This window comes from Homo sapiens, chromosome 14 (assembly GCF_000001405.40).
Source record: "Homo sapiens chromosome 14, GRCh38.p14 Primary Assembly".
NCBI classification, from domain to species: Eukaryota; Metazoa; Chordata; class Mammalia; order Primates; family Hominidae; genus Homo; species Homo sapiens.
Window position 1 is genome coordinate 23,892,250 of NC_000014.9, and position 15,686 is coordinate 23,907,935.

A 15,686-nucleotide genomic window follows, 5' to 3' on the forward strand; every position below is an offset into this window, starting at 1 on the left:
ATGTCTAGCTCAGGGATTGTAAACACACCAATCAGCACCCTGTGTTTGCTCAAGGTTTGTGAATGCACCAGTCGACACTCTGTATCTAGCTGCTCTGGTGGGGCCTTGGTGAATCTTTATGTCTAGCTCAGGGATTGTAAATACACCAATTGGCACTCTGTATCTAGCTCAAGGTTTGTAAACACACCAATCAGCACCCTGTGTTTAGCTCAAGGTTTGTGAATGCACCAGTCAACACTCTGTGTCTAGCTGCTCTAGTGGGGCCTTGGAGAACCTTTGTGTCTATACTCTGTATCTAACTAGTCTGATGGGGACTTGGAGAACCTTTATATCTAGCTCAGGGATTGTAAACGCACCAATCAGCACCCTGTCAAAACAGACCACTTGGCTCTACCAATCAGCGGGATGTGGGTGGGGCCAGATAAGAGAATAAAAGCAGGCTGCCCCAGCCAGCAGTGGCAACCCACTCGGGTCCCCTTCCACACTGTGGAAGCTTTGTTCTTTCGCTTTTTGCAATAAATCTTGCTACTGCTCACTCTTTGGGTCCACGCTGCTTTTATGAGCTGTAACACTCACCTCGAAGATCTGCAGCTTCACTCCTGAACCCAGCGAGACCACGAGCCCAACGGGACAAACGAACAACTCCAGACGCGCTGCCTTAAGAGCTGTAACACTCACCGCGAAGGTCTGCAGCTTCACTCCTGAGCCAGCGAGACCACGAACCCACCAGAAGGAAGAAACTCAGAACACATCTGAACATCAGAAGGAACAAACTCCAGACGCGCCACCTTAAGAGCTGTAACACTCACCGCGAGGGTCCGTGGCTTCATTCTTGAAGTCAATGAGACCAAGAACCCACCAATTCCAGACACACCAATACATTGATCATCAGTATCAGTTTACAACCTTACCAGCAATACCAGTGTCATACTGTTTTTGCAGAATGGTAGATTACCAGAATCTCACTCAGTCATTAACAGTTGATTCAGTTTATCATTAATTCATATGCCCAAAATGTCTCCCAGAGCAATGCCACTCAGGTTTGCAGGCTTCTATTCTAGTTTGTCAGGTTCCAAAAGCAGAAGTGGTCTTGGCAACAAATGGCCTCACCCTTTCAGACATCTGATATGATTGAGCTAAGAGAGACAATATCATCTCTTGCTTTGAGCCTCTCTTGAGGTACAAATGTAATAGTGGATTTTCCTCATTACATAGCTCATTTATTCATTCATCTTCAACTGCTATTCCTCCTCTCTCCCTTTATCTTTTGACCCATCCTTTGCCACCTCTGAGAGACGTGAGGTTCAGCCACTGTCCTGATCCAGATGTCCAGCAACAAGATTAGTCCAGCAGGTGTCACACCCTCGGCTCACTCTTGCTGACATAGGGTAGGGTTAGACAGGCACAGAACTAGTGGGGCATCATTACCACTAGGCAATATTGTTGCAGTCACTGTCAACCCCAATTCTGCAGGATGGGGTGAAGGCACAATTCATTTCATCAGGATCTTAGGAATTCTGATCTAAAAGTTTCAAAGTACAGTTACAGTTTCCTGCTTAGGGATCATCCCTGACTCCTGAATCTGCAGTCACAGCTCTGGTGCTGGGATCACTACATCAAGTAGGAAAAAAGAAAATTGAAATGATACAGAAAAAAAAAAAATGAGGTGATCTGGAGAAGAATTGTAATCAACTTGTCAGCTATGGGAGGACCCTCTCCCAGGAAATCTGTCCCATAGCCATCTGCAGTCTTTGTCTCTTTTATTGGCACACAGACCAGACCAGATCTTGTTGGCAATTTCTGCAAGAGGAAAATGGCTGGATTCAGTCCATCTCTGCATTGCTGTAATACTTCCACATCCTTTCATTTCAGGGACCCAAGTAGCCACATCAAGCAGCAAACCAGGATATATTTTTGTCAATTCTAATTACCTTCTGACCCTAGAAAGGAGCTCTTCTTGTGGGCATCAACATGTCCTATTTTAATGCACTCCTTAAATACTCAGGGGTATATTTTAATATACTGGCCACCCCCTGGTCTCTGACCAAGTCTTTCTTAGAGGAGACTTGCCTAATTTCCATAAGGTCATGCCCTATGTGAGCATCCATTTAATAGACCAGTGTTCCATTGCCCATCTACTTGACCATATAGCCACGCCACTGGCCACTGCCCATGAGTCAGTAAAAACCCAAACCTAAAGGCTTTTTTATTGTTGTTCAATTCTCCCATCACTGCCAGGAAAACAGCATGTAATTAAGTCTGTTGAGTTAATTTGTTACCTTCTTCAAACAGAGCCTTTCAATCTGCCAGTCTTAGTGTGGTGGCCTTCCAGACAGGATGCCATTCATCCATCTTGGAACTGTCATCTGCAAACCAAGCAGCTCTTTGGTTAATACAGATCTGTATTTGTTGGTTAACGCAGATCTGTTAACAGGGCACTGTCCAGGTGGTGATCGGATCCAGCAGCCTCTCAGGTGGTTCTGAGGCAGGATAAGTAAGGTTAGAAGGCCATACTGACTTGTCCTCCTGTGTGAAGCCCTGTGGGCTTTTTTCACAGCAGACTCTGCATCCCTTGCAAACTCGTGCATCAGCACCTAATATATTGTGCAAGATAAGCAGTCCTCCAGGATACCAGCAGCTGCCAGATAGTTACAAGTTCCTGATATCCAGTACAGCCTGGGAAAGAGAACAAAAGCCCCTTATTCCTGATGTAGCTTCCCCAATCTCCAGCCAATCAAATTTCTGCCTTAGGGGAAATAGGCACTTCTCAAGGGTCCTGCATGAGCAGCTAGGCTCAGGTTTAGTTTATAATGGCTTTTTCCTCATTTTGATAGTAAAAAACACACCCCTAGGTGGAGATTTTATATGCTAATGATACATGTGATCCATGTTAGAGCATGTAGATACTGAGCACACATGCCAATCGCAGGTCCACCTTTGCATATTTGCCCTCACCAGTACTTTATGAATACTCATGGTGTACTTTCACTTTGCAATAAACTTATTTGCCTACTTACTTTGGACTCATTCTGAAATTCTTTTGTGTGGCAAAGTCAAGAACCTGAACCAGCCCACTGACAACAGTTCCAAAGTCAGTGGTAGAGGGAAAGAGCCTACCTGCTTGTAGATACAATGAGTCCCTCTGCATTCCCCCAGTAACATGTTCCTATAGAACCCATTTCCATTTTATCATGGAACACTTCCAGACACTGCCTTCTTTATTAGAGTGTTTCTCTGACATCACCCAAGACATTACGGATATTTCAGGTTTCAGGAGTATTTTACATCCTTCAGTCATAGAGGCAGTCTCCATTAATTCCCAATAGCAAACTAGAAGTTGTTTCCCTCCTGGCATATATCTTACCACGCCATCCAAGAATGTTCTAGTACAAAATTCCATTGGCCCCCTCTGGGTGGCACTCATAAGCTTTTACAGTAACCTCCAGTCCACGTAAGTATGTTACAGAGACTTCCAAAATCATGTATGAGTGTGGAACATAAGGGCCCAAAAGCATCTGGAGAGAAAATACTTTTCACACTTCTGACATGGCCTGATTTTGTTTGGGTCCCCATTCAAGTATGGCCCTCTTTGGGGGTAGTTGTATGGACAAAAGCTAGCAATATACCCAATGTAGAATATGCATCCTTCAAAACTCAAAGCTACCACACAAAAGTTGGACTAGATTATAACTAACATTCTTAGTTAGATCTAGGAATAGATATTGACAGCAGTTTGTAGTCACCTGTATAATGTCATGGGTGGCTCCTACCCAGGTTATTCCTAAGAATTTCACCAATTGAGCAGGCTCTTTGACTTTTGCAGGAGTTATCAACAATCCTGTGCTGGTCAAGTGTGTCATCCCCCATTTAGGTCAGTCCATCCTGGTCTTCAGTTTCAGACATTATCATGATATCATCAACATAGTGTAATATTACACTCAGAACCTGCATCAATCCAAACCTCCTCTCACCAGTTTATGACAGTACCTATAGCAATTCGGTAAATGTAAATTGGAATCATTCTCACAGAAAGGCAAACTCCAATTTATTCCTTTTAGGATTGAGACAGAAAAAGCATTTGTAAGATCAATTAAAAAGCCACTCCTACCAGACAGGACATTCTAAGGGCTTAGAGACCACCTCCCAGAAGCTGAGAGCAAAGGGGAAAAAAAAAAGGTGGTCAGACATCTTTTTGGATAAAGTTAAATTATTTATTATACAGAAAGTCTCAAGCCTTATTGAAAACCATCAGGAAAACTGCAGAACAAAATTTAACAGTATTTTCCTTCCTTTCCACACAAGCATATTGCAGGATAAGGATCCTGTCTCCGAATCTATGTATTCTGCTCATCCCAAGAATTTGACTTTGAGAAAGAGGAAGAACTTTGTGAAGTAAACCACGTGAGATTTCCTGATCTGCCCTAGAAAAGTTTTGTATTTCTGTAAGAGGATCCTACCACTCATAAGAAAACAATGAACAATCTGCTGAAGTTTTTAATTTCTTACACGTGTAAGCAAGCTTTCTTTTGTTTAACAACCATCAAGAACTGGGACAGATGTCGCCTCGTTTCAGGTGAAAATGATATCCATGTGTGCTTATCACGAGTTTGGCCCAGAATTCAGTATGTATTTATGCAGTAAAAAGTAAGGATATGTTTTAGATAAAAGATGTGAATTTCATTCTATATTTTTAACCTCAGAAAAACACTTTGTATGCACATATAAGCCTATAAAGGAAATCAAGAAACTAATATATGTGCATAATAATTTTGCATCTGCTAGACCTTTATTTGACCTTTATCATGTCACTCAGTGAAAAAAACTTCAAATCTTTAATAAAATAATGTCTTAAACTATATTCTTACTCATTTTGCTTTGGCTTGTGATTAATTGCTTTACTATTCAATACTTGCAAAAATTTTTATATAGTAAATAACAGTAATTAAAATAAATTTATAATCCTTATTTAAAGAAGTCTACCAAGCTGACTTTTCAAAATTCATTTGCTTTTTGGTTTAAGCCAGCTATTTTTTTTTTCAGAACAATATGTTTAATACAATCCAACATATGTAATAAAAACATAAAAGATTCATAGCACCTATATGTGTAAATAGATACAGATATATAGAAAAAGTCTGGAAGGGTCCACTGTGAACAGCTAATCATTGCTTCCCATAGAAAGTATGATGTGCTTATGAACGTGACATGTTTTCAGAAAAAAAAAAGTATGTTGTGGTGAGTCTCAACCCTATCGGGCCTGAGGAGAGATGAACTGAGATTTTGACTTTTGTACCCTGTATACCTCTGTACTGTTAGAATCTGTTAGAATTTTTAGACAATAAATGTACATTTGTTGTATAAAAAATTAATTATAAAAAGAGAGAAATGTAATTCATATAATGTATAGAGCATTGTTGTTTTTCTTTTTTTTTCTGGTAGTTTTTTTTTTAATTTTTTTAGTATTTATTGATCATTCTTCGGTGTTTCTCGGAGAGCGGGATTTGGTAGGGTCATAGGACAATAGTGGAGAGAAGGTCAGCAGATAAACATGTGAAAAAAGGTCTCTGGTTTTCCCAGGCAGAGGACCCTGCGGCCTTCCTCAGTGTTTGTGTCCCTGGGTACTTGAGATTAGGGAGTGGTGATGACTCTTAACGAGCATGCTGCCTTCAAGCATCTGTTTAACAAAGCACATCTTGCACCGCCCTTAATCCATTTAACCCTGAGTTGACACAGCATATGTTTCAGAGAGCACGGGGTTGGGGGTAAGGTTATAGATTAACAGCATCCCAAGGCAGAAGAATTTTTCTTAGTACAGAACAAAATGGAGTCTCCTATGTCTACTTCCCTCTACACAGACACAGGAACAATCCGATCTCTCTTTCTTTTCCCCACATTTCCCGCTTTTCTATTCGACAAAACCGCCATGGTCATCACGGCCTGTTCTCAATGAGCTGTTGGGTACACCTCCCAGACGGGGTGGCAGCCAGGCAGAGGGGCTCCTCACTTCCCAGACGTGGTGGCAGGGCAGAGGGGCCCCCCCCACCCCCCAGACGTGGCGCCCCCCCACCTCCCAGACGGGGTGGCTGCCGGGCGGGGGCGCCCCCCACCTCCCAGATGGGGCAGCCGGTCGGAGGCACTCCTCACTTCCCAGACTGGGCAGCTGCCAGGCGGAGACACTCCTCACTTCTCAGACGGGGCGGCTGCTGGGCGGAGGGGCTCCTCACTTCCCAGATGGGGCAGCTGCCGGGCGGAGGGGCTCCTCACTTCTCAGATGGGGTGGCTGCCGGTCGGAGGGGCTCCTCACTTCCCAGATGGGGTGGCGGCCGGGCAGAGGCGCTCCTCACCTCCCAGACTGGGTGGCGGCCGGGCAGAGGTGCTCCCCACATCCCAGACAATGGGCGGCCAGGCAGAGACGATCCTCACTTCCTAGACAGGATGACGGCCGGGAAGAGGTGCTCCTCACTTCCCAAACTGGGTGGCCGGTCAGAGGGGCTCCTCACATCCCAGACGATGGGTGGCCAGGCAGAGACGCTCCTCACTTCCTAGAGGGGGTGGCGGCCGGGCAGAGGCTGCAATCTCAGCACTTTGGGAGGCCAAGGCAGGCGGCTGGGAGGTGGAGGTTGTAGCGAGCCAAGATCACGCCACTGCACTCCAGCCTGGGCAACATTGAGCACTGAGTGAGCGAGACTCCATCTGCAATCCTGGCACCTCGGGAGGCCGAGGCGGGCAGATCACTCGAGGTCAGGAGCTGGAGACCCGCCCGGCCAACAGGGCGAAACCCCGTCTCCACCAAAAAATACAAAAACCAGTCAGGCGTGGCAGCGCGTGCCTGCAATCCCAGGCACTCGGCAGGCTGAGGCAGGAGAATCAGGCAGGGAGGTTGCAGTGAGCCGAGATCGTGGCAGTACAGTCCAGCCTCGGCAACAGAGGGAGACCGTGGAAAGCGGGAGACGGAGAAGAGCAAGAGGGGGAGACCATGGAAACCGGGAGATGGAGACGAGGGAGAGGGAGAGGGATGTTTTTCTTTTTTTTTTTTTTTTTTTTTTTGAGAGCTAAGCCAGTTATTTAGAAGAAATATATTATGTTTATCTTAAGGGTTTTTAAAATTTATGAAAAAGAAAGAGATGGATTTTTCAAAGTTATCCAGTCGTTAGCTACCTGATTTTATTCAACACAGGTTGGTTAAAAAAAAGTTAGCTTTAAATAGGAGAAATAATTACTCTTGCATATATCATATACCATGTCCCATACCTCATTAGTGTGTCTTATACTATGAATGTGTGATAAAACTTTGAAGCCTACTTGGATAAAATTTTTCAAAAATCAGGTAGGAATTTATTAAAAGAAGAAACTGAAGTCTCCTCACCTACATTACTGACTTGCAGTAGAAGGGATATCCTTTGTGGGGCAGAGGGGAGGGGGAACACACAAAAAGAGGAGGCTGATAGATTGGCTACAGTAAATAGATCCACTGAAAAATATCAGTCCCTATAAAAAATAACACTGACAAATAATAGTAGGTTATTACATCCATAGCTCACTCTCATAACAATGACCCATAGCTTTAGATGTAATTATATTTATGCAGGGATTCCCGGAGACCTGAAAATTAACTCAAGCATTTCTTCAAAGTAGAAAGATTGAGAATGGACTAGAACCTACTACCACTGTGTCAGTGTGACTTGGGTTTCTGTGCCTTCTCGTTTGCTCATGTTCTGATTCCCGAGGACTCTGAAGAGCAAAGGTCTACTGACCACTGACCCCAGGCCACTCAAAAGGCAGGATCTGTTATGACATCGTTTTGCACAAGTAGAGCACTAGTGCCCAGTCGGGCGTCAGCTCCACTGCAGGATTGAAACATGGCTGCTAGTCTCCCCGTATTCTTATGAGTGCCTTCCGTCAAAAAGTGCAGAATTGCTCTTCAATGAGGTAAATATACCATGTGCTGATTCAAAAATATATCTGAGACACATTAACATGAAAAAGACAAGTTAACAAATGATGTGTAGCATGTAAATACATTTATGTAAACGTACCAAATGATGTAATTATATGAGTTCCTGTCTGATTGTATGTTCAGAGACACAGAGGGGAAACTAAAAGTTGTGATATTATGACATAAGAAATTTACATTTTGATCTTCTTTCCCAGCTATTGGCCATAGCTCCTAAAACCTTTGTAATTGTCTAAGCCATAAAGGTGCTAGGAGTGTCTTTTGTTCTAATATTTGATTTTTGACCCCAGTTTCAGACACAGAGATCCTAAATGCCTTGGAATTTCCTGTGTAATAGGAGCATCTTTTCTTCTAATGAGGTGACTCTTGCTGGGCTCCTTAATGAGGGCTGGTCTCCAGGAAGACCAAGCCGTGGTTAGAAGCTTGGAACTTTCAGCTCCACTCCCATCCTTAGGGAGGGGAGAAGAGATAGAGTTTGAGTTAATAATTGATCACGCCTACATGAAGCCTCCATAAAAATCCCTAAAAGACAGAGTTCAGAGACCTCCTGTGTTGGTGAACACACCCATGTGCCCAGAGGGCAGTGCACCCCAACTCCACGGGGACTGAGCCCCTGCATTCAGGACCCTTGCTGACCTTGCTCTATATATGTTTTCATTTGGCTATTCATATGTATCCTCTATCATATCCTTAATAATAAACCAGCAAAAGTGTTTCCCTGAGTCCTGAGAGCCAACACAACAAATTGTCAAACTTGAAGAGGAGGTCCTGGGTTTTGTAGCGAAGGCTGACAGAAGTGCGGGTAACTTGGGGATTCAGCACTTGCAACTGGCTTCTGGAGCAGGGACAGTCTTGTGGGACTGAGCCCTTAACCTATACTAACACTAACTCCAGGTAGTTGGTGTCACAATTGAACTATAGGATGCCCAGCTGGCATCCAAAGAATGGGAGAATTGGTTGGTGTGGGGGAGTGTTGGGGGAAGCCACTCGTTTGGTCACGGAAGTGTTGAAAGTGCTGATTGTCATAAAGAAAATTTTTTGTTTTCCTCTTTAGGGCAAATTGTGGGGATGGGGCATGTCAGGGAAAGAACAGAAGGGAAAAAATGCCTCATTAAGAGCTTTGAAAAGGCAAGGAATTTTAAGAAAAATAAAACCGCTAAATACAGCAAATAGTATGAGAGCTGCTATATACAAAATGACAAAATTAACAAAGTTACATACCCAGCATCTGTATAGCAATTTACAGTTGCCAAAACATTTTCACATATATATTCATGTATACATACATGTATGTGTATATTCATGTATATGTGTATATATATAATTTTATGTGGTATTCCTAGAACTTCTCTACCTAAAGAGGAGCACACTTCTTCCCTCCTGGTGCAGGAACACTGAGTTATACGTTCAAGACCTGAGTCACATTACAATTTGTTCTGAATTTTAAAAATCAAAAAGCCAAACAAACACTGACGAGACTAGGTTCTAATGCCAACTACTTTGTCAAGGATGCAAACCACTTTTCTACTCAAAAGAATTTATAGATTCACAACTATGAAAGCCAGAAGAAGTTAAGCATACTTTGGAAAGAAATTGCCTGACATAGAGGCATTTTCCACATATTTAAGCCTGACTCCAAAACTGTCAATGGAAGCCTGTATCTTGCTGACAAGTCCAAGAAAACCTGTTCAGAGCAGCCCAGGCTGAGACTGGGAAGGTGCACTTGAAGGCAGGACCAGGCAAGAGGCTCTGTAGTTAACTTGGTTTCCCACCCTCAGCCAGCATTTAGGCACCCCACTAACTTCAATGTTCATGTTGGGTTAGAATACAAAATTGCTTGAATTTTAGTTCACAACACGTATCCAATTCATAACTGAATTCATAAAACATTATGGCTTAGAAGTTAAGAGCATGGGAGCCTGGCCATCATGGTGAAACCCTGTCTCTAAAAAAAAAAAAAACTATAAAAATTAGCCTGGCATGGTGGTGCATGCCTGTAGTCCCAGCTACTCAGGAGGCTGAGGTGGGAGAATCGCTTGAACCCGGGAGGCGGAGGCTGCAATGAGCCAAGATGGCATCACTGCACTCCAGCCTGGGCAACAGAGTGAGATCCTGTCTCAAAAAAAAAAAAAAAAAGTTAAGAGCATGGGGTTTAAAGACAAATCTATGTGTTAATGAATAATGATTATATTTGTTGGGCAAGTTATTTAACTTGTATATGACTCAGTTTCCTATGTGTCAAGCAGGGATAGTACCACCCACTTCAGTGGGCTTGCATGAAGATGAAAACACCAAATGAACCTCAGTTAGGCACATAGAATATACGCCAAAAAAATGGACTAATAGTAGAAATAACTGCTCTAGAACTCACCTTAGGAGAAAAGAGCCTGATTTCCACAGAGAACAAACATCAGCTGTGCTACAGCCTGCTTTATCCAGCTGAATCTCAGCTTTGTCTGCCGGGATCCCAGCACACAATCCTCATGATCCCATAAGAGGCTCAAGGCATCTACAGAGGACAGACATTAAGACAGAGATGTGACTTTTTTTCTAGGTTCAGGAGTACATGTGCAGGTTTGTTATGTAGGTACATTGCATGTCACAGGAGTAGTTTTTCCAGCCTCACCCTCTTCCCATCCTCCGCCCTCAAGTAGACTCTGATGTCTGTTGTTCCCTTCTTTGTATCCATATGTACTCAATGTTTAGCTCCCACTTATAAGGGAAAACATTAAGTATTTGGTTTTCTACTCCTGCATTAGTTTTCTTAGGATAATTGTCTCTAGCTCCATGCATGTTGCTGCAAAGGACACGATTTTGTTCTTTTTACTGCGGCATAGTATTCCATGATGTATACATACCACATTTTCTTTATCCAGGCTACCTTTTTTTTTTTTTTTTTGAGACAGAATCTCACCCTGTTGCCCAGGCTGAAGTGCAATGGCGTGATCTTGGCTCACTGCAACCTCCGCCTCCAGGGTTCAAACGATTCTCCTGCCTCAGCCTCCCAAGTAGCTGGGATTGCAGGCGGCCACCACTATGCCCAGTAATTTTTTTTGTATTTTTTGTAGAGACAGGGTTTCACCATGTTGGCCAGGCTGCTCTCTCCAGCCTACCATTGATAGGCATTTAGGTTGATTCCATGTCCTTGCTATCATAAATTGTCCTGTGATAAACATACGTGTGCATGTGTCTTTATAGTAGAATGATTTATATTCCTTTGGGTATATACCTAGTAATAAGGTTGCTGAGTTGAATCGTGATTCTGTTTTTTAAGTTCTTTCAGAAATCACCAAACCACTTTCCACATTGGCCAAATTAATTTATATTCCAAGCAGCAGTGTACATGTTTCCCTTTCTCCAAAAAAAGGTGTGTTTTTTTAAGAGACTAAGAAACTCCAAATATTGAATGACGTCTATCACGTGCAATGACTCTGGAGAAGTATAAAATACGAACTCTGCCCTTAAGATATTGTCAGCCTGGTGGCAGTGGGAGGAGGGGCAGGGGAAACACTGAAAGTTGGGTTGGAGAGACAGCCATGTAAAACCAAGTAGATGTATTTATAAGGCTTCCCTGAAGTAGGGATGCCTTTGCTGAGTCTGAGGGAAGAGTAGGAACAATCCAGGGAATGAGAAGATGCAAGCATGAAATGCAAGAACATTGTTATGTTTATAGTAGAAGGAGCTTGTGAAGGCAAGGGAGAGGAGTCAGGGACAAATCAACAAAATCCCAGTGTAGGAAGCCAAGAAATGTACATTTTATCATCAAAGCCATTGAATCTCCACAATGAGATGAACTTGATCAGCTTTTCACCTTGGAAAGACTCCTCCAGCTTAGTTTGGAAGTAAGAGCAGAACAGGAGCTACAGCTACACTCCAGGAAAGACAGATGACCACTCCAACAAAATGCAGTGACTGAGGAATCAGGAGAAGATCAACTAAAAGCTAGCAGATATCATATTAGCAGGCCTTGGTGACAATTGCATATGGAAGAAGTGAGAAGGATCTTGGCTGACTGCGGTTTCTGGCTTAGACAACTGAATGGATAGTGGGCCCATATGTTAACATAGAAAATGCAAGGAAAGGACCAGAGTTCCTGGGAGCTGATGTGCACAGTCCATAGAGATTCAGACGGGTCCCTGTGCACTGTGGCGGTAAGCAAATCTGTGAAAGAGGCCCTGCATGATGGACAGAATGTGATTTGGTGTCTTTCAGTATAAGCCTCCATCCTGGTTTGGGGCTTTGAGGACTCAACAAAGTGAAGTCTGGAAAGAGGGCAGGGAGACCTCCTGGTGTGTCCTAGGGGGAGGAGAAAGGAAAGGATGCCCTGACTTAGAGAGGAGAGAGAACAGTAGCTGCCCAGACACCCCAGGACCTGCCCAATCTTGAGCTACTCCTGTTGCTGGGATTCCCTCTGTGCCCTAGACAAAGCAACTGGGACTCATCATAAAGGTAAGAAGATTGTATATTGAATATTTTATATAAATAGATCTATAGAGATACAGAGATATGAATAGATATTCTTCCAAAAATACCATAGACCTGAGACAGGGGTCCCATCCCTTGGGCAAGAGAATGCTATAGAACAGTATATATGCAACGACTTTCCGAGAGGTAAGTAGGCATATATATGTTTTAAAACTCAATTTCTTCATTGGTATGAAAGATTCAGAAAAGCAAATTTATAAAATTTATAGAGACAAAATAGATAAAGGTTGCCTGGGTCTGGGGCTTGAAACAGAGATCAACTGTAAAGGGCATGAGGGGTCTCATTTGAGCAATGAAAATGCTCTACAACTCACCAAATGTGATGGTTGCACCTCTTGGTAAAGTTACAAAAATCATTGAATTGTAGACTTAAATTTTATGATACGCTTCAATAAAGTTGTTTCTTAAAACAAGAAATCAGTTTTCAGATCTTCAATTTCCACGTGTGGTCTTTCCTAATAACCTGCCTGAGAAAGCACCTGTGTTCAAGGTGATGTAAAATTCACTTTACTACCTCCCCTTTTAATTGGCCAAGCTCAAAAAGGAGGAGAGTCTTATTCTGCTCCTATCCTTATTTTACTATGGTGTGTGAACTCGAGTGAAGAAACCTCCAAGTTGCCAACGGAAAGGCCATTATAAATATTGGTTACTGGGATGCCTTTTTTAATGATTAATGCCTTAGGGCTTCTTATCTTTCCCTATCTTAATTTGGTTAAGAGTGTAGCTTGGTATTAGAAATTAAGTGTTTTAATCTGTGTTGAGATGTTCTGAATTTGGATATATGGTGGAATGTGGCAGTGGATGTGTTGACAATTATCCTTTAAGGACCTCACCTTTCCACACCTCAACTCTTATCAAGGAACACAGATGGGGAAAGTTCTACAAGAGATGAGCAATGATAGCATGGATACACAACATTTAGTGCTGCAACTAGCTTTTCCAGGTATTTAAATGTGTGCAATCCTTTTCAGCTCTTCTCAACGCTCACTGATAAGTTATGTTATTAACCGGGGGAAAAATCACCTTTGGACAGATGAAGCTCAACTGCTTAGTGACACTTTCACAGTTTTCAAGATATGTTGGATAAAGGCCAAGAATAAAACTTTTACCTGACTTCTTCAGAGCCAATATAGACCAGTCAGCAAGGTAGTGAAAGTATATTTTACCCATTCACATCATGAAATCCATAATCCAACTCCACAATCCCTAACTTTGGGTGGCCCATTGATGCTGCCCAGCTTCACACTTTATCTGCATTCATACTCCCATTCCCTTGACAACTGTGTGATTCATCCATGGATGCTGAAGTCCCCTGTATAAAATGGTATGTTATTTGCATATAGCCTATGTGCATCCTCCCATGTCTCCTCAAGCCTCTAGCTCCTCACTCTCCGCTGATGACCTCTCCTCCTATTTCTCTGAGAAAATTGGGCAATTAGAAGAGAACTTCCAAGCTCTCACCACATATCTCTCCACCCAAACACATCTCTTCCCATTCACTCTCTCTTCTCTCCACTGACTCTAGGTAGATTCTAGGTGCTCCTGGCTAAAAGTACCCCCACCCTGTATTCTGGTCCTATCTCCTTCTGCCTATCCCAGGAAGCTCCTCACTGGTCTACCCTTGCACCCCTGCATTGACCAGCTCACCCTCTATCCTGGATCACTGGGATCCTCCTCATTGGCCTATTCTCCCCCAACTCCCACATTTTTTAAAACAACACAACTCTTTGAAAGGGTTGTCTACATCTACTGTCTCTTATTTGTTTCCTCCCCATTTTCAAGTTCAGTCAAGTTTTGTGCCCCTCCCACTCCACTGAAACCTATCTTGTCAAGGTCGCCAATAAATTTCACACCACAAAAACCAAGAGTCAATACTCAATCCTCATTTTACTTCAACTATCAGCAGCATCTGACACAGCTGATAACTCTCCTCCTTGGAAACTATCTTCACTTGGCTTTGAGAATGCCAAATGCCTGATTTTCCTCCCACCTCTCACCTCTGCAAACAAATACTGAAAGGTCATGTTCTCTAAACATTGGTGTGACCCAGACCTCAAGTCTTCTTTTTGTAACTTATACTCACCTACTAGGTAGACTCATCTATTCTATATGATGATGACTCCTAAATATATGCTTCTAACCTGGACCTCTCCCAACTCCAGAATTGTGTATCCAATTGCTTACTCTACATCTCCACTTGTATAGTCTCTTAGCACCTCAAATTTAATGTAACAAGGCTTGCTTGCCCTAGGAGGTGACCAGACCTTTAACCTGGATGAATCAGAGCCCTTGCTTTCCTTTGTCAGGCCACCATCCCTGCAATTGTCTGTTCATGGTTAATACAAGGCATGGGACCACCAACAGATGCCCAAATGGATCCCTTGAATTTCAGATATATTGTTCTGTGTCACCGTTTAGTATCAGGTATCCAACTTCTTTATGGTGATCAGAGGCAATTATATCTCTGTTGTTCTACTAGTATGAGATTTCCAAAATAATCAAAGGGTAATCATACCTTTAGATTCAGGGTAACCTTTATTGTGTTTTCTGGTGGGAGCATTTCCTCCTAACAGATAACCAAGTGCTCCAGACTCACTATCTTAGTCCATTTTCTTTGCTATAACAGAACATCAAAAATTAGGTAATCTATAAAGAAGAGAAATTTATTTCTTACATTTCTCGGGGGGTTCCAAGGTTGAGAGGCTGCTGGTGGTGAGGGCCTTCTCACTATGTCATAACATGGCAGAGGACATCACATGGTGAGAGGGAAGTGTGTATGCCAGCTCAGGTCTCTCTTCTGCTTCTTATGAAACCACCAGTCTTATCATGGGGGCCCCACCCTGATGATCTTTTCTAATCTTAATTACCTCCCAAAGGCTCCACCTCCAAATGTTATTAACCTCCTGCAAATGCCAAAATCTCATATAACCTAAGCACAATCTCCCATATACTTTAAATCATCTATGTATTACTTACAATACCTAATACAATGTAAGTGCTATGTAAATGGTTGTTGTACTGTATTGTTTAGGGAATCATGACAAGAAAAAAAGTCTGTACATATTAAGTACAGATGCAAGTTTTAACAAAACATTTTCAACCTGCCATTGGTCAAATCCATGGGGTGCAGAACCCATGGATACAGATGACTAGCTGTACATCCATAAAGTAGATTTCTGTGTCAAGGACTTATATCAATGTATACCTGAAGAGATTCCCCATATTGCCTTCTCAATGTGTTCCTTCC

General features: G+C 42.8%; 1 long non-coding RNA gene across 2 annotated transcripts in view, besides 1 other annotated feature; it reads right to left on the reverse strand.

Annotated features, from left to right (window-relative positions):
* Positions 1-15,686, reverse strand: part of LINC00596 (long intergenic non-protein coding RNA 596) — a 95,219-nt gene that overhangs the window by 53,527 nt on the left and 26,006 nt on the right. Inside the window, exons 1-2 of one of the 2 annotated variants that reach the window (XR_429343.4) lie at positions 10,326-10,690; positions 2,280-2,676 (exon numbers count right to left, since the gene is read on the reverse strand). This is a non-coding gene — a long non-coding RNA (long intergenic non-protein coding RNA 596). Of the gene's footprint in view, positions 1-829; positions 2,677-10,325; positions 10,691-15,686 lie in introns of those variants that run through there. The other variant, XR_001750659.1, reaches the window with a different exon arrangement.
* Positions 5,398-5,928: an enhancer, noted in NCBI's record as "NANOG hESC enhancer chr14:24366856-24367386 (GRCh37/hg19 assembly coordinates)". NCBI's record gives its function as "activates a minimal SCP1, AML or CMV promoter by ChIP-STARR-seq in naive H9 embryonic stem cells {active_cell/tissue: H9 hESC(naive)}" and the evidence as "EXISTENCE:reporter gene assay evidence [ECO:0000049][PMID:30033119]".